Raw genomic sequence first — 19,585 nt, forward strand, 5'->3', positions numbered from 1 at the left:
ACAAACAAAAATTATTTGTGCTGTCATCCTTGTGGATGGAAATAGTAAATTAAATAAACATGTTGGTAAACTAAATATATGATGTATGTTTAAATAGTGAATATATGTTGATACATCTTAGAAAAACAGGGAAAGGAGAAAGGCATGTATGCATGTGGGGGCAGGAAAGGCATTATGAAGAAGGTGGTATTTGAATAAACACCTCAAGGAGGTAAAGAATTGGGCCAAGTGGCTCTTTGAGGATAGAGGGAATAATGAACCCTGGGGTGATAGGGTTCCTACCATGATTAAAGAACAGGAAGGAGGGCAGTGTGACTGGACGAGTGTTAAGGAAGGGGAGAGTTTTAATAGATAAAGTCAGAGAGGTTATGGGGACCAGATCACATTCTCAAAGACTGGGAAGGTTCTGAGACTTTCACCTACTGGCTAGCTAACTTACTAGCCTGCAACTTCTCTTCTTTTCCTTTTAATTTCAACTTGTATTTTAGGTCCAAGGGTACATGTGCAAGTTTGTTATATGGGTAAAGTGCATGATGCTGAGGTTTGGCGTACAATTGATCCCATCACCCAAGTAGTAAGCATAGTACCCAATAGGTAGTTTTTCAGCCCTTGTGCCCCTCCCTCCCTACCCCCTCTAGTAGACCCCAGTGCCTATTGTTCCCATCTTTATATCTGTTTGTACTCAGTGTTTAGTTCCTACCTATAAGTGAGAACAGGTGGTATTTGGTTTTCTGCTCCTGTATTAATTTGCTTACGATAATGGCCTCCAGCTGTATCTATGTGCTTGCAACATTTTCAATGATGCTAGTAAGAGACATGAAACTCCAGAGACAAAGGAAAGTTTATTACAGCATTAGCAGTAGCCAAAGTATCAGCATTTTTTACTCAATTCTATGAACCTCAGTTCTCTCACGGACCACGTTATAAACATGCATTGGGTTGCTTGGGGAGGAAGTCTGAGGTTAGAGATCCAAATATTTTTATAATGGGCAGTGAGCATGCTTGCTTTTTGCTCCAAATGAAGACAGTATCTCCATCTTATAAGGCAGTAAGCAAACTGGCTTCTTGCTCCAAAGGAAGACATTATCCCTGTCTTCCAAGAATATTTTCTACACAAACATATTTGAAAAGATAGCCAAGAACAAAAACAGCCAGTACCTTTAATCAGCAGGTGGAGGCAATTGTCCTAAGCAAATTAACACAGAAACAGAAAACCAAATACTGTGTGTTCTCATAAGTGGGAGCTAAACATTGGATACACATGGACATAAAGATGGGAACAATTGACACTGGGAACTACAAAATCGGGACGAGGCAGATGGGAGTAAGGGTTGAAAAACTATATTGAGTACTATGCTCACTACCTGGGTGACTGGGTTCAATTGTACCTCCAACCTTAGAATCATGCAGCACACTCTTGTAACAAACCTGCACATGTACCTCCTGAATCTAAAATAAAAGTTGAAAAAAAACTTGTGTAGAAACATGACAGACCAGTAGAAAATTGTCTCTCTACATATTATGGCTATTACATCCATCAAGACTGTCTTATAAGAATGAGATGGGAAATCATTGGAAAGCTTTGAGCAGAGGAGTGTCATCATCTGATGGAAGTTAAACAATATCGCTTTGGTTGCTGCACTGAGAATACAGTGACGAATGCAAATGTGGGAACAGGGCACTCCCTATCAAGAGGTTATTACTATAATACTGGTAAGAAGTGATGGTGGCTTGTATCAGAGAAGTAGCAGTGGAGGTAGTGAAAAGTCATATTTCAAATATATTTTGAAAAATTGAAAGATCACATGTGGGTAAGAAAGAAGGAGAGGAATCAAGGGTAACTATGGGGTTTTTGTCCTGAGAAACTAGAAGGATAATGTTGTCATTAACTGAAATGGGGAAGACTGTGGGAGAAGCAGGTATTTTGGAGAAGATGTGGAGCTCAGGTAGGACACATTTGAGATGTTTTTAAGATGTTCAAGGTGGTGGTTTAGTAGGCTGATGTATGATCTAGAATTTAGTAACTAATAGATCAAGCAACAGAGATCGGTAAGGAATTTAGGAGATTTAAACAACACAATCAACATGTTTGATATCATGGACATAGACATAGCATTTGACCTTCCCAATATGCATTCTTGTCAAAAACACACAAAATATATACAAATATTTGCTAAATACTGGGCCATAAAACAAGCCTCAAAAATACAAAAGAATTGATATTATATTTACATTTACAGACTTGCTCAAAGCTATGATTCAGAGGAAAAACATGCTTACTCTGCCTGTGCATCAGTAGCAGGTAGCACGAGGCCTTACATTGCTCAGTTTAATTTGTACCTTTGAAGCTTTTGTTTTGTTTTGGTTTCTCTGTCTACACCACGTTTGCTGTGTCTGAGTTTACTTTTGAGTTGCTTTAAAAAATCATTTTGTGCAATGGAAACAATGGCGGTTTGAGTGTTGAGGGTGCTTATAAGAGGTGTGTAATAATGGAAATATAATTTTTTATAACTCACTTTGAAACAATTTTGAACTTATAGATAAGTTGCCATAACAAAAAGAACTCTCATCTCTTTCACCCAGACTCTCCAATTGTTCCTATTTTATTGCATTTTCTCATCTTTTTCGTTCTCTCATTTCCTGTCTCTGTCTTCCTGTGTCTCTGTCTGTCTCTGTCACACACACACACACACACACACCCTACTTATTATTAGACCTTTTTCCCAACCTATAAAAACAAGCTAAAGATGCAGTGTCCTACAACTTCTAAACATTCTAGTCAATGTTTCCCGTAAACAAGGATATTTTCCTATATAATTAGCACTCAAACCTCCAAATCAGGAGTCAACATTGATACAACACTACAATCCAACAATCCAATCCATAGGCATGATTCACGTTTCAACTGTTCCAACAAGGTCTCTTTTTCCTTTCTTGTCCAGGATGCCCTTCAGGAATGCGTTACATTTAGTTGTCATGTCTCTTCATATTTCTTCAATCTGGAACAGTTCCTCTTACTGTTTTCCATATTCTTGACAGTTTTTAAGAGGCTTTACATCCTGTAGAATGACCCTCAACTTAGCTCTATCTGGTGTGTCTGCACGATCGATTCAAACCATGTAATCTTTGTAGAAATGACGTGCACATCAAGAGCTACATAATGTAGACCCGTATCACTACAGTTAATACTAAACTTGATTATTGAGCAGATGATCAAATATACAAATAGGAGCAATATTTGGATTTGCCAGGTTTCTTCACTTAAAATTCTGTGTTTTCCCATTTGTCAATTTTGGCTTTTGTTGCCATTGCTTTTGGTGTTTTAGACGTGAAGTCCTTGCCCATGCCTATGTCCTGAATGGTATTGCCTAGGTTTTTCTTCTAGGGTTTTTATGGTTTTAGGTCTAACGTTTAAGTCTTTAATCCATCTTGAATTAATTTTTGTATAAGGTGTAAGGAAGTGATCCAGTTTCAGCTTTCTACATATGACTAGCCAGTTTTCCCAGCACCATTTATTAAATAGGGAATCCTTTCCCCATTGCTTGTTTTTCTCAGGTTTGTCAAAGATCAGATAGTTGTAGATATGTGGCATTATTTCTGAGGGCTCTGTTCTGTTCCATTGATCTATATCTCTGTTTTGGTACCAGTACCATGCTGTTTTGGTTACTGTAGCCTTGTAGTATAGTTTGAAGTCAGGTAGCGTGATGCCTCCAGCTTTGTTCTTCTGGCTTAGGATTGACTTGGCGATGCGGGCTCTTTTTTGGTTCCATATGAACTTTAAAGTAGTTTTTTCCAATTTTGTGAAGAAAGTCATTGGTAGCTTGATGGGGATGGCATTGAATCTATAAATTACCTTGGGCAGTACGGCCATTTTCACGATATTGATTCTTCCTGCCCATGAGCATGGAATGTTCTTCCATTTGTTTGTATCCTCTTTTATTTCATTGAGCAGTGGTTTGTAGTTCTCCTTGAAGAGGTCCTTCACGTCCCTTGTAAGTTGGATTCCTAGGTATTTTATTCTCTTTGAAGCAATTGTGAATGGGAGTTCACTCATGATTTGGCTCTCTGTTTGTCTGTTATTGGTGTATAGGAATGCTTGTGATTTTTATACGTTGATTTTGTATCCTGAGACTTTGCTGAAGTTGCTTATCAGCTTAAGGAGATTTTGGGCTGAGACAATGGGGTTTTCTAGATATACAATCATGTCATCTGCAAACAGGGACAATTTGACTTCCTCTTTTCCTAACTGAATACCCTTTATTTCCTTCTCCTGCCTAATTGCCCTGGCCAGAACTTCCAACACTATGTTGAATAGGAGTGGTGAGAGAGGGCATCCCTGTCTTGTGCCAGTTTTCAAAGGGAATGCTTCCAGTTTTTGCCCATTCAGGATGATATTGGCTGTGGGTTTGTCATAGATAGCTCTTATGATTTTGAGATACATCCCATCAATACCTAATTTATTGAGAGTTTTTAGCATGAAGTGTTGTTGAATTTTGTCAAAGGCCTTTTCTGCATCTATTGAGATAATCATGTGGTTTTTGTCTTTGGTTCTGTTTATATGCTGGATTACATTTATTGATTTGCATATATTGAACCAGCCTTGCATCCCAGGGATGAAGCCCACTTGATCATGGTGGATAAGCTTTTTGATGTGCTGTTGGATTTGGTTTTCCAGTATTTTATTGAGGATTTTTGCATCAATGTTCGTCAAGGATATTGGTCTAAAATTCTCTTTTTTGGTTGTGTCCCTGCCCGGCTTTGGTATCAGGATGATGCTGGCCTCATAAAATGGGTTAGGGAGGATTCCCTCTTTTTCTATTGATTGGAATAGTTTCAGAAGGAATGGTACCAGTTCCTCCTTATACCTCTGGTAGAATTTGGCTGTGAATCCATCTGGTCCTGGACTCTTTTTGGTTGGTAAGCTAATTAAAGTGAAGAGCTTCTGCACAGCAAAAGAAACTACCATCAGAGTGAAGAGGCAACCTACAAAATGGGAGAAAATTTTCGCAACCTACTCATCTGACTAAGGGCTAATATCCAGAATCTACAATGAACTCAAACAAATTTACAAGAAAAAAACAAACAACCCCATCAAAAAGTGGGTGAAGGACATGAACAGACACTTCTCAAAAGAAGACATTTATGCAGCCAAAAAAACACATAAAGAAATGCTCACCATCACTGGCCATCAGAGAAATGCAAATCAAAACCACAATGAGATATCATCTCACACCAGTTAGAATGGTAATCATTAAAAAGTCAGGAAACAACAGGTGCTGGAGAGGATGTGGAGAAATAGGAACACTTTTACACTGTTGGTGGGACTGTAAAGTAGTTCAACCCTTGTGGAAGTCAGTGTGGAGATTCCTTAGGGAACTAGAACTAGAAATACCATTTGACCCAGCCATGCCATTACTGGGTATATACCCAAAGGACTATAAATCATGCTGCTGTAAAGACACATGCACACGTATGTTTATTGTGACACTATTCACAATAGCAAAGACTTGGAACCAACACAAATGTCCAACAATGATAGACTGGATTAAGAAAATGTGGCACATATACACCATGGAATACTATGCAGCCATGAAAAATGATGAGTTCATGTCCTTTGTAGGGACATGGATGAAATTGGAAATCATCATTCTCAGTAAACTATCGCAAGAACAAAAAACCAAACACCCCATATTCTCACTCATAGGTGGGGATTGAACAATGAGAACACATGGACACAGGAAGGGGAACATCACACTCTGGGGACTGTTGTGGGGTGGGGGGAGGGGGGAGGGATAGCTTTAGGAGATATACCTAATGCTAAATGACGAGTTAATGGGTGCAGCACACCAGCATGGCACATGTATACATATGTAACTAACCTGCACATTGTGCACATGTACCCTAAAACTTAAAGTATAATTATAAAAAAAATACATACAGACATATATACACACATAAAAAAAATTCTCCATTTTCCCTTGTAATTCATTTCTACGTCAGGCAAAAGTATTCAAAAATTATATCCATATCCTGATCCTCAACTAATCTCCACCCACTAGCAGCATTAACTTTCATCGATGACTCCAGCAGGAATTAACTACCTTTTGGAGATCGTTGCTACATACTGATTATCTACTTACATCATTCGTGTTACGTTTATTAGCTGGAATTCCACTAATAAATAAATGTATGGAAGATCTTTCCTTTTTCTCATCCTCCTTCATTTCCTCTTTCATTTTTCCCTGCCTCCCTCCTTCCTCCCCTCCTTTCTATCGGTATGGTATCATTATTTTTATTTAATGGATTGTAATCTATTATCATAATTGTTTTGTTTATCAAATTCTCCCTGATTTGGCCAGCTAGAGCTCCTTCAAGCTGGTTCCTGTGTCCTCCTGTCTCAGGTTATTTTTCTAGAAGCAGACTCTGGGATGGAACTTAGTGTATGGGAGGTTTATTGGAGAGTGTGCTTGGAAGCAACATGTGTGAGGGAGAAAACAGCAAGAGGGAGAAGTTGGCAGCTGATTTCACAGGGAGCTCTGGAGCTCCCTGGAGCTCTTTAGAGTCATTTCACATTGAAGCAAAGTGGCCAGGTCTTTGGAGCACCCCTCTCTTCCTGTCATCTTCTCTTTAAACAGTTATTGGATTAAAGCTGTCACTGGTGAGGTGGTGTAACCTTGGACAAGGCAGCTCTCTTCAGTCCTCGTGAGGGACTTACCTTTGAACTCTCTGTTGGCAATATTCCCAAAAGTTGAGGAAGTGAGTACCTCCATTTAGAAAGGGGTGGGGTGCAGATCTGCATTATGTACCATAACATTCACTTCAAGGAAATTCAACATTGACCTTGCTACTATTTTACTTTATGAATTAAAAAGTAAACTTATTCCCCCCACCCCCAAGACAGAGTCTTGCTCTGTCTCCTAGGCTGGAATGCAGTGGTGTGATCTTGGCTCACTGCAACCTCTACATCCTGCGTTCAAGCAATTCTCCTGCCTCAGCCTCCTGAGTAGCTGGGATTACAGGTGCATGCCACCACGCCCAGCTATTTTTTTTTTTTTTTTTTTTAGTAGAGACGGGGTTTTGCCATGTTAGCCAGGCTGGTCTCGAACTCCTGACCTCGTGATCCACCCACCTCAGCCTCCCAAAGTGCTGGGATTACAGGTGTGAGCCACCATGCCCGGCAGAAAGTATTAATTTTCTTATTTATAGCACTTAAGATTACATGAAAATATTCAGCACTTTTGGAACCACAAAAATTCCAAAAAGATAATGTGTATAACGAAGTGTAGTCCTAATTAGGTTGAAATGCTATATTCCAGATGTTAATTAAGACCCTGATATGGTTTGGCTGTGTCCCCACCCAAGTCTCATCTTGAATTCCACATGTTATGGGAGGAACCCAGTGGGAGGTGATTGAGTCATGGGGGCAGGTCTTTCCTGTGCTGTTCTGATAGTGAATAAGTCTCACGAGATCTGATGGTTTTAAAATGGGAGTTTCACTGCAGAAGCTCTCTTCTCTTTGCTTGCCACCATCCATGTAAGACGTGACTTGCTCCTCCTTGCCTTCTGCCATGATTGTGAGGCCTCTCCAGCCATGTGGAACTGTAAGTCCATTAAACCTCTTTTTCTTCCCAGTTCCAGGTGTGTCTTTATCAGCAGCATGAAAATGGACTAATACAGATCCTGACTTTTGTTTTCAAAACACTTTGCTTGAAGAGCTGAATATAAGTTGGCACCTCCCATTTCTCTCACCTGGTTTGAAATTCTTATAATAAAGCTATGTGTTTAAAAATGTCAGTGTCTCATGTTCCTAGATAAGGGATGGATCTATTTTAAAGATGAGATAGATGAAGAAATATTTAGAATGGATTCTGTGTTTTGAAACAATGCATAGATAGTTGATACTTTTATTGTTATGTGCATTAAGGTTTTACAGCTTGAGTACTGAAAATTCTGATGCCTTTTGGGTGTGAATGGGTCTGCCTCTAGAAGCAGAGAGAAGCCACAAATAGGACTTCACAGAAACCACAAATAGGATTCAAAGGACTCTGATTTAGTAAGTAGCATCTATCATCATTAAATTAGCTGCTCAACGTTTCCTCTGTTGTTCATTTTGAGGTAGAATTTGGGAAAGGTCCAGGGTTTTCAGTGACTCATACCAAGTTTTTCTGGCAGTGAATCATCTTTGGGAGACTTTAGAAATCCATATAGGTTAATTAAGAATAAAACGCCACAACTGCTCTTCTTGGATAACTGATCTACTGAGTTCTGGCCAATAGCTTCAGGGATGGTCAGAGTAAGGGGCTGTTTCAGAAGCGTTAGTGGTTAGTTTTCTGAGAGGAATAATAACTAATAATTCAAGTTACTTCTAAATTACACAAACTTCACTCATGATCACCACTTTTATGGTCTTTATTATAAATAGAATCCCTCAGAGAGATTAATAATATTTATATTTACTCCTGTTTAACAAGTGCAGCATTAACTGGCCAATACCATCTAGTAAAAAAGAAAATAGAATAGGCTGATTAGTGAAGTGGAAACACTTGGATTGCAATGAAGTACCATCTGATTTATGAAATCCATAGATTTCTAAAACAATATTTTGAGTAAAGATATGTGTTCTCAAAACACTTAAGGATAAATGATATGGAATATCAAAGGAAGATGTTTTTAATATGAGCAAAAGATTGCTTCAGGGAGAGCACAGACTGGCATAATATCAAAGATCAAGAAAAAGATTCAAGGATTTGTCACAATTTATTGAAAGGGCTGAACTTGGTAGGAGTCAGCCAATAAGTAGCTTGATTTTCCCCTGTGATTCCCCTTTGGAGATGTCTGTGAGATCTTTCATTCTCATCCTTGATGGTACCTTGGGTAAATTTGTTAGATCTGTTGTCATTTTCAGGTTTCAGTGAAAAGTTCCCATTTTCAGGTACTAAGAGACCCCGTTCAATCTGAATCAAACTGTCAACATTTCACCTAATTCTAAGCTCCAATCCTTTTTCCACAGCTCATCTGACTCAAATTTAGAAAGCTGTACTAGGGTAGTCAGGGTAGTCGTATGTTTTTGTTTTGCTGTTTGTACTGGTCCTTACCCTCCTTCTTCACTTTCCGTTCTGCTGGTTTTGGCTTTTCCAAGATCACAATGAGGATAAGTGCTAAGAAGACAAGAGAAGGGTCTTTTTTGTCTGCTGCTATTTGTGGCTCTTTATCAGCAGTCTAATATCTTCTGTCGTGGCAGACACTCTTTGGATCTTTGAAACCTCTTTAACTCTTCACTTGTACATCTGTCCTGCAGTTCTTGACAAGGCTGATGCTTCTTGGCAGACCATTTATGAATCCAAATCAGCTTTTGCTCTTGTGGGAGGCCTCCAGCACATTTCCTCTTGAGACAACTTACCTTTCTGGTCAAGGTTTTTTTTTAAGGTGACTCATGCCTGCTTATCTTGGTGTGCACCTCTGTTCCCCAGCTGCTATACCTCTGGCTTTGCTTTTAGGGAAAGCTACAGCCAGCCTCTTGGCTTTAAGCTACTTTGGATGTGGGTCAGGCACTGGTCTTAAGTCTTCTGTCACTCCAGGGACATAGGTCTGACTCTGAGATCTTGTTCTCTCATGCTCCACTCCTGTTTCACAGCCAATGTCAGCTCAGCAGAAATTGACAACCCCAGAAAGGAAATCTTAGGCTTTCCTTGTGGCAAGAGCCTTTACTTTCTTTGAGTACATTTTGATTCCTTTCTCACTCATTTTTTGAGTACATCCTAACCCCTCTTCCTATGCCAATAATGCTCTTCAAGAAAACCCAAAAAACAAAAACCCCTTTTTTCAGAACCAGTTCTCTTAGATACTACCCCTACCCCACAATATAGGCTGGGAGCAAATGATGGACCAATGGTACCATCTCTTGGCATACTCTATCTGGATTATCTATCAGTTCTTTTCACTCAGCATAATGCCCTTGAGATCCTGATTCAATACATGCCTGATTCATTTCTTTTTATTTCTGAGCAGTATTCCATGGGACAATTCTATAAGATTTGATTAACCATTCATCCATTGAAGGACATTTGGGTAGTTTTTAGGATTTGGCTATTATAATAATTCTGCTGAGACCATTTGTGTATGTGATTTTGTGTGGACGTAAGTTTTCTTTTTTTTTTCTGTATAAATGTCCAGCAATGTGATTGCAGGGTTGTATGGTTAATGTATGTTTTGTTTTATAAGAAACTGCCATACTTTTTTCTATAGCGGCTATACCATCTTACATTCTAACCAACAATATGTGAGGGATCTAGTTTCTCTATATCCCTGCCAGCATTTGGCATTGTCATTATTTTTTAATTTTAGGTGTTCCAGTAGATGCATAGTGATATCTCATTATTCATAAACTGTTTTTAGACTTGTGGGTATACATTATACTTATTATTAACTTTGAGGCCTTGGCCTGAACTTTTAGACAACAGGAAAAATTTAATATCTCATTGCACAGTGATTCAGACAACCTCTGACTTAGGGTAAGATTTTCCAGGAAGGAATTAGAATTCTAATTAGAATTCAAATATAGTTTGGCAGGTGTATCAGCTTGCACCTAAGTAATATCTTCTGTTGTGTTTTATATTTGTTGGGCATGTCTGGTAGAATGGTGATGTCTGCCAGAAATCTACTTACATTTAAGACTTAGAAGTTTCCTAGGAGATTACTCATATCAAAGAAATAGTTTTGCAGACAGGTTTGCCTAGTAACCAAGCATTCAAGTTGTCAGATGGAAGGACAGGGCAATTTTTGTGAGCTGCATGATATTTGCCAGTTAGATTGGTTTGCTAATTTGATGCACCGTTTGTCTCCAAAACTATATCCAGATTCAGCATAGGAAAGTAGAGGAGACTACAATTAAAGATACTAGAAGAGTCATTCTTACTAAGATTCTGGGAGACATTGAGTTTAAAGAAGAACATTTGAGTATTCTTCAAAGCAAGCACAATCTAAAAAGGAAGAGAAATCTCCACACTTCTGCCAAAAACAACCAACCAAACAAACAAAATAAACAGTTGAACTCTGGCACTTTGATGTCTCTAGCAGTAATGGGTGAGGTCCCTGACAGGAGGGTTGTCTGGAGCCACCAGGTTGCAATTTGAGGCAGCAGTAGTGAGGGAAATGGTATGAGAAGATTTGTAGATGTTATGAGGCAGCATCTTTTGTGACATATTTTCTCATTTTAGGTTTTGAAAATAGTGAAGTACTCCCTGAAAACACACACCAAATAATGAACTATAAAAATACTTGGATTATGAATATATTTTAGTGGCTTCTCTTTTCTTTTTATTATAATGTATTTTTTTCTCATGCATACTCCATATCTTGCTTGTGTTCAAGCATACTTTAATTTTTAATTCATCAGTTAAGCTGTCTTTGAGTTACCATGATATTGGGCATACCTCATTATTTTTTACACCAAATGCATTTTAAAAAGGAAAAAGGACACTGTTTTATCTTCTTTCTTGCTGCTTTAATGAGGATGGAGGGATAAGTTACAGGCTGGCACATTAAATGTACTACTATGGAAGGACCTTTTTCTTTATCAGTGTCCCTTCCCTACCCTTAAAATCACTGATCAGGGTCTAGCAGTATCTGCTCCTCAAAACTTGGGACCAAGTGATGGTGTTCCCACTTGCAATGTCCTCTCATAGCACTTTTAACTTTCTTCTATAGTTTTTAATGCTTTATGCAATACTGGTCAGAAGGGCTTCTTTCTTTCTTTTTTTTTTTTTTCTGAGACAGAGTTCTGCTCTGTCACCCATGTTGGAGTGCAGTGGCGCAATCTTGGCTCACTGCAACCTCTGCCTCCTGGGTTCAAGCGATTCTCCTGCCTCAGCCTCCCGAGTAGCTGGGATTACGGGCGCCCACCACTACACCCGGCTAATTTTTGTGTTTTTAGTAGAGACGGGGTTTCCCCATGTTGGCCAAGCTGGTCTCGAACTCCTGACCTCAGGTGATTTGCCCGCCTTGGCCTCCCAAAGTGCTGAGATTACAGGCATGAGCCACTGCGCCCGGCCAGATGGGCTTCTTTTAAAATAAATCCAATAGTTGACTTTTGTTTCCAGCAGTATAGTAGATTAGATAACATGATTTACCTCATCTCCATCATGAAAACCACCAAAAATGTTGGATAAATTATTTGAAAACATCTTTTCCAATAAATTGATGACCTGGCAAGAAAAAAGAATATTCAGATGCCAAAAAAGGTGAAAAAAGAAAATAGAAGCTAAATAGATAAGTAGAATGATAAAGCCAGCTTTTTCCTCGAGCATATTTGCCAAATCTGCTAAATCCAAAGTTTAATCTTCAACTGTTCAAGGACATGTGGACAAGAGAGAAGCCTAGAAATCACTTCATATGTAAAAGGAGGCTTTCCACCAAAAAACTGGAACCCTAAAGATACACTCAGTGAAAGGGTGAATTAGAAATAAATCACCATTATTGCCACAGACACACAGGAAGAATGCTATGTTAATACGAGGGCAGAGATTGGAGTGATGCACCTATAGGCAAGGGAATGTTTGGAGCTACCAAAAGCTGAAAGAGGAAAAGAAGAAACTGCCTCTAGAGGCTTCAAACGAACATGGCCCTGCCAACAACTTGAATTCAGACTTCAGTTGCAACAACTGAAGTCAAGGGGACAATGAGATCTTCAATGTGTTGTGAGAAAATAACTGTCAACACACTTTCACAGTCAAAAACAAACTTTCAAGTAAAAGAGCAAAATGCCTATTCACATAAAGAGTAATAGATGATATGTCTCTAACAAACACTAAGGAAATTTTAAAGAATGTACTTCATACAGAAAGAAAGTGATTTAGATGGATGTTGGATGGTCTTATTATATTTTCAAAGAAACAAAGACCAAAATAGTTTAAAAATGTATATTATGGACTAAATATTTCTGTCTTCCCAAATACATATGTTGAAGCCCTAATCCCCAGTGTGACAGTATTTGGAGATAAGACTTTTACTGAAGTAATTAAGGTTAAATGAGGTTGTGATGTTGGAGTTGTAATCCAGTAGAATTAGTATCCTTATAAGAAGAAACACCACAGAGCATGCTCTCTCTCTGTGTGTACCATGTGAGGACACAGGTAGAGCCAGCTGTCTACAAGCCAGGAAGAGAGCCCTTGCTGGAACCTAACCATTCTGGCACACTGCTCTTAGACTTTCAGCCTCCAGACTGTGAGAAATACATTTTTATTGCTTGAGCCACCCAGTCTGTGGTATTTTGAGATACTTTCCATCAGTACCTAGTTTATTGGGAGTTTTTAGCATGAAGGAGTGTTGAATTTTGTCAAAGGCCTTTTCTGCATCTATTGAGATAATCATGTGGTTTCTGTTATTGGTTCTGTTTATGTGATGGATTATGTTTATTGATTTGCATATGTTGAACCAACCTTGTATCCCAGGGATGAAGCCGACTTGATCATGGTGGATAAGTTTTTGATGTGCTGCCGGATTTAGTTTGCCAGTATTTTATTGAGGATTTTTGCATCAATGTTCATCAGGGATATTGGTCTAAAATTCTCTTTTTTTGGTTGTGTCTCTGCCAGGCTTTGGTATCAGGATGATACTGGCCTCATAAAATGAGTTACAAAGGAGGCCCTCTTTTTCTATTGATTGGAGTAGTTTCAGAAGGAACAGTACCAGCTCCTCTTTGTACCTCTGGTAGAATTTGGCTGTGAATTCATCTGGTCCTCGGCTGTTTTTGGTTGGTAGTCTATTAATTGCTGCCTCAATTTTAGAACTTGTTATTGGTCTATTCGTGGACTCAACTTCTTCCTGGTTTAGTCTTGGGAGGGTGTATGTGTCCAGGAATTCATCCATTTCTTCTACATTTTTCCAGTTTATTTGCATAGAGGTGCTTATAGTATTCTCTGATGGTAGTTTGTATTTCTGTGGGATCAGTGGTGATATCCCCTTTATCATTTTTTACTGTGTCTATTTGATTCTTCTCTTTTTTTTCTTAGTCTGGCTAGTCTGGCTAGCAATCTATCTATTTTGTTAATCTTTTCAAAAAGCCAGCTCCTGGGACTTATTGATTTGTTGAAGGGTTTTCTGTGTCTCTATCTCCTTCAGTTCTGCTCTGATCTTAGTTGTTTCTTGTCTTCTGCTAGCTTTTGAATTTTGTTTTCTCTTGCTTCTCCTGTTCTTTTAATTGTGATGTTCGGGTGATGATTTTACATCTTTTCCACTTTCTCCTGTGGGCATTTAGTGCTATAAATTTCCCTCTAAACACTGCTTTAGCTGTGTCCTAAAGATTCTGGTACACAAACACAAAAAGATTGTGTCTTTGTTCTCACTGGTTTCAAAGAACTTATTTATTTCTGCCTTAATTTCATTATTTACCCAGTAGCCAATTGGGAGCAGGTTGTTGAGTTTCCACACAGTTGTGTGGTTTTGAGTGAGTTTCTTAACACTGAGTTCTAATTTGATTGCACTGTGGTCTGAGAGACTGCTTGTTAAGATTTCCATCTTTTGCATTTGCTGAGGAGTGTTTTACTTCCAATTATGCGGTCAATTTTAGAATAAATGCGATGTGGTGCTGAGAAGAATGTATATTCTGTTGATTTGGGGTAAAGAGTTCTGTAGATGTCTATTAGGTCCTCTTGCTCCAGAGCTAAGTTCAAGTCCTGAATATCCTTGTTTATTTTCTGTCTTGTTGATCTGTCTAATATTGACAGTGGGGTGTTAAAGTCTGCCATTATTATTGTGTGGGAGTCTGAGTCTCTTTGCAGGGCTCTAAGAACTTGTTATATGAATCTGAGTGGTCCTGCATTGGGTGTATAAATACTTAGGATAGTTAGCTCTTCTTGTTGGATTGATCCCTTTACCATTATGTAATGTCCTTTTTTTTGTCTTTTTTGACCTTTGTTGGTTTCAAGTCTGTTTTATCAGAGACTAGGATTGCAACCTCTGCTTATTTTTGCTTTCCATTTGCTTGGTAAATGTTCCTTCATCCCTTTATTTTGAGCCTATGTGTGTCTTTGCACATGAGATGTGTCTCCTGAATACAGCACACCGAGGGTTCTTGACTCTTTATCCAATTTGCCAGTCTGTGTCTTTTAATTGGGGCATTTAGCACATTTACATTTAAGGTTAATATTGTTATTTGTGAATTTGATCCTGTCATTATGATGCTAGCTGGTTATTTTGCCCGTTAGTTGATGCAGTTTCTTCATAGTGTCACTGATCTTAATAATTTGGTATGTTTTTGCAGTTGGTGGTACCTGTTTTTCTTTTCCACATTTAGTGCTTCCTTCAGGAGCTTTGGTAAAGGCAGGCCTGGTGGTGACACAATCTCTCAGCATGATACTGGACAAAAGTCATCTGTGGATGGACACTTAGGTTGATTATACTACAAGACTACAGTAACTGAGACAGCATGGTACTGGTACAAAAGTCATCTGTTGATGGACAGTTAGGTTGGTTCCATATCTTTGCTATTGTTGAACCAACTTTGCATCCTGGGGATAAAGCCTACTTGATTTTGGTGGACAAGCTTTTTGATGTGCTGCTGGACTTGGTTTGCCAGTGCTTTTTTGAGGATTTTTGCATCAATGTTTATCAAGGATATTGGCTTAAAGTTTTCTTTTTTGTTGTATCTCTGCCAGATTTTGGTACCAGGATAATGCTGGTCTCATAGAATGAGTTAAGGAGGAGTCCCTCCTCATCAATTTTTTGGAATAGTTTTAGTAGGAACGGTATCAGCTCTTCTTTGTACATCTGGTAGAATTCAGCTGTGAATCTGTCTGGTCCTGGGCTTTTTTTGGTTGGTAGGCTAGTTATTATTGATTTAATTTTGGAGCTCATTATTGGTCTTTTCAGGGATTCAGGTTCTTTCTGGTTCAGTCTTGGGTGGGTGTATGTATCCAGGAATTTATCTATTTTTCCTAGATTTTCAAATTTGTGTGCATAGAAGTGTTTACAATATTCTCTGATGATTATTTGTATTTCTGTGGAGTTAGTGGTAATATCCCCCTTGTTATTTCTAATTGTGTTTATTTGGATCTTCTCTCTTTTCTTCTTTATTGGTCTAGCTAGTGGTCTATTTTATTTTATTTTTTCAAAAACACAACTCCTGGATTTGTTGATCTTTTGAATGATTTTTTGTGTCTCAATCTCCTTCAGTTCAGCTCTGATTTTGGTTATTTCTTTCTTCTGCTAGCTTTGGGCTTGATTTGCTCTTGGTTCTCTAGTTCTTTTAGTTGTGATGTTAGGTTGTTAAATTGCTATCTTTCTAACTTTTTGATATGGGTGTTCAGTGCTGTAAATTATCCTCTTGACACTGTCTTAGCTGTGTCCCAGAGATCCTGGTGTGTTGTATCTTTGTTCTCATTAGTTTCAAAGAACTTCTTGATTTCTATGTTAATTTCATTGTTTACCCCAGAGTCATTCAGGAACAGGATATTCAATTTCCATGTAATTGTATGATTTTGAGCTATTTCCTTAGTCTTGATTTCTTACTTCATTGCACTGTGATCTGACAGAGTGGTTGTTATGATTTCAGTTCTTTTGCATTTGCTGAGGAGTATCTTATGTCTGATTATGTGGTCAATTTTAGAGTGTGTGCCATGTGACAATGAGAAGAATGTATATTTTGTTGTTTTTGGGTGGAGAGTTCTGTAGATGTCTGTCACGTATGTTTGATCCAGTACTGAGTTTAGGTCCTGAATATCTTTGTTAATTTTCTGCCTTGATGATCTGTCTACAGATGCTCCCATTCCAAACCCTCTGGGCTCTGTATCGGCTGATATCCTTCCCCATCACTTCTCCAAGCAGGTTTTCCTGCCAACTCAAGTGTCTGTGGTGGTCAAGGGGTCTCCTGCTGCCAGGATTCCAGAGGCCTGTGGTGAGAGTGGGTTGTTCCTTGCCAGTTCAACTCACCCATTCCCCCAGAGTCACTGGGGGTCAGGAACAAGTACTGGTGCATAGTAGCCCCCTCCAGGGGTCCCAACTTCCTCCCTCTTCAGCCTGGCTTCTGTGTCTTCCCTCAGTCTGCTCTCAGTGCCTTCCCTCTGAAGATCTGCTAGGACTGTGTGCCACTTGTCCTAGTCCCTTGGTGACAGCTGTTCCACCTGGCTGTGTCTGGTTGGCCATCTTGCCCAAATCTCTCAATAATTTTAAATGACCTGATTTCAAGTTTGCCAATTCCTTCTCCTGTCAGATCAAGTCTGCTGTTAAACCCCTATAATGAATTGTTCAGTTCAGTTTTTGTATTTTTCTGCTATAGGTTTCTGTTTTTTAATATAGTTTATTTATCTTTGTTGACAGTCTTATTTTGTTCATGCATAATTTTCCTGATTTCTTTAGTTGCCTATGTTATCTTTTTAACATATTGAGATCCTTGTGACAGTTATTTAAAATCCTTGTTAAGCAGCTCATATATCTGCATTCGTTAGGGTTGATTTCTGGAGTTTTATTTTGTCCCTTTGATTTAGTCATGTTCTGCTGTTTCTTTGTATGCCTTGTAATTTTTTGCTTGGGTTTGAGCATTTGAAAAATACCCTCTATCCCAGTTTTTATATTCTGACTTTGTACAGGAGAAGACCTTCTTTAATCAGCCCAGCTGGAAGACCTCTCAAACCCTTCTAATCTCTTACTCTCCTTGGAATCTGCCTGCTGAACTGCATTTCTAATATTCCACTCCACCTTTGTTTCCAGTGGCTTCTGAATTCTGGTGTCAATACTGTCAGCACTCTGAGTCAGGTGGTACAGAAATGAGTCCTTTGGGCAGCCCTCAGACAAGCCAGAACATTGGACTCATGTTCTACTGTTTATTTCTGTCCCAAGGGAGGAGAACTCATATAGAGGATTCCTTCCAGTTGCTCTGTGTGATGCTGCATAGAGGAAGGGGAACAAATGTGTGTGACAAATGCCGCAGATTTTCCTACACCTTTCACTGGAATTCCGTCTTTGTCTTACAATAGCCTTAGTGCTATAGATTCTCAATTGGTCTCCAGCATTATCACAGAGGAATTGTGGTCCACATATTATTGTTAATTTGGTGTCTTTGTTGGGGAAGGAGAGCCTGTAGCTTCCTAGTCTATCTATGCTGACCTGCACTTCTACTTTTAAAGTGTAACTTTTTCCTCCAAATCTAAAGCTCTGCAATATGCTTTGTGAATTTCACCACTCTTACCTTGGATGCACTAATTTTGATTATTTCAGCACATCTATTTAATCACTTTAAGTTGAACAATTCCTACTGATGGTTATTTGCTACCAAATCATCCTGTTCTTGGTGGTGTACCTCAAGATTTCTAAAATAGATTAATTCCCAGAGCGTTGTTCTTTAAGATGGACTCAAAGCTTAGTCTATGTCATAAACAGGTCTTTATCTGTACATACTATAAGGCTATGAGTTTAAATGGATAATCTTTGCAGATAAAATTAACTTTGTTCTTACCAAATTGCAGGATTCTTAATTAAAATACTTTCATTTCATTTTGTTTAATAAAAAACATTTTGACTTTAGCCACAGCTCTTCTACTGTACCATAGGCATTTTCTGTTCAGTTAGCAGAGAAAAAGAGGTAAGAATAATTTAAGACTTTTTGTAGCATGTATTAATCTATTATTTGCCTTTTGGTCTATGGATAAGTGCATATGATTTTATGTTGGCTTGTAAGCTCTTCTTTAAAGCTTTATCACAATAAGAATCTAATAGATTAAAAAGAACTTTTCTTCCATCCTTAACTATTTGAAGTGTTACGACTTTACCTCTCCATTTCAATTTAAGCAGTCTGACAAATTTTAAATTAACTAGGTACACACCTAGTTACTGTAGCAAAAATGAAAGCTGAGCATCTTTCTTTGCTGAAGGAATGGATTATTGTCAGAGTCCACTGGGAGTTGTGTGAATGAGCAATTAAACCTGTTGTCTAATTGCTAACAGAAGGAATGGTTAAGTATCAATTATAGAAAAAATAAAATCATCCCTTTAGGCACACTTTCCTCAGGACTCAGATGGATAATGCTGAACAACTCTACTTAACAGTTTAAGTCATTTAGTTATTTGGGTGGCTATTTTGTTCTGAATGATCTTTGGAAACCCATCAGGATGATGTGTTGCTTAAAAATTAAGCATTTTACAAAATCGCATGATTGTTTTATGATAGGCAAAGACATCTGGTGACTCCTGCTACCAAAATCTTCTAGGATGTGGTGTTCTATTCCATGTTTTGTGAAGCACAATTTGGGGGTTGAACAGATGCCAAGGTAAACTTTAAAATTTTTGCAATAAAACATCGAGTTTGTCAACTATAAATCTAGAAAATAAAGCATATAGTGATCCTTTCAATCAATAACTAGGATACCTGGACTTCTACAGGGACTTTAAGTTTTAATTTTTTGACTATTTTCTGGCTGACACAATTGATATCCAAGAGTAACCATCTAATGAGTGTTAAATAATTTCTCCCTTAGATAATTCACTATTATTCTAGTAACATGCCAGATCATTAGCAAGCTACTATATTAACTTAGCTTATGACAATATATTTATAGTACTATGAATATTATGCCTATAATATTATTACAGCCTT

General features: G+C 38.4%; 1 protein-coding gene across 2 annotated transcripts in view; it reads right to left on the reverse strand.

The window, feature by feature from the left end:
* The window catches only part of EYS (eyes shut homolog), a 1,987,247-nt gene that overhangs the window by 12,838 nt on the left and 1,954,824 nt on the right, over window positions 1–19,585 (reverse strand). The window contains exon 42 of one of the 2 annotated variants that reach the window (NM_001292009.2): window positions 9,096–9,158. The exons of the other annotated variant lie outside the window; for it this stretch is intronic. Coding sequence (NP_001278938.1) covers window positions 9,096–9,158 — 63 coding nt within the window. The remainder of the gene's footprint in view (window positions 1–9,095; window positions 9,159–19,585) is intronic. 2 annotated transcript variants of the gene reach the window in all.

This window comes from Homo sapiens, chromosome 6 (assembly GCF_000001405.40).
Source record: "Homo sapiens chromosome 6, GRCh38.p14 Primary Assembly".
NCBI lineage: Eukaryota > Metazoa > Chordata > Mammalia > Primates > Hominidae > Homo > Homo sapiens.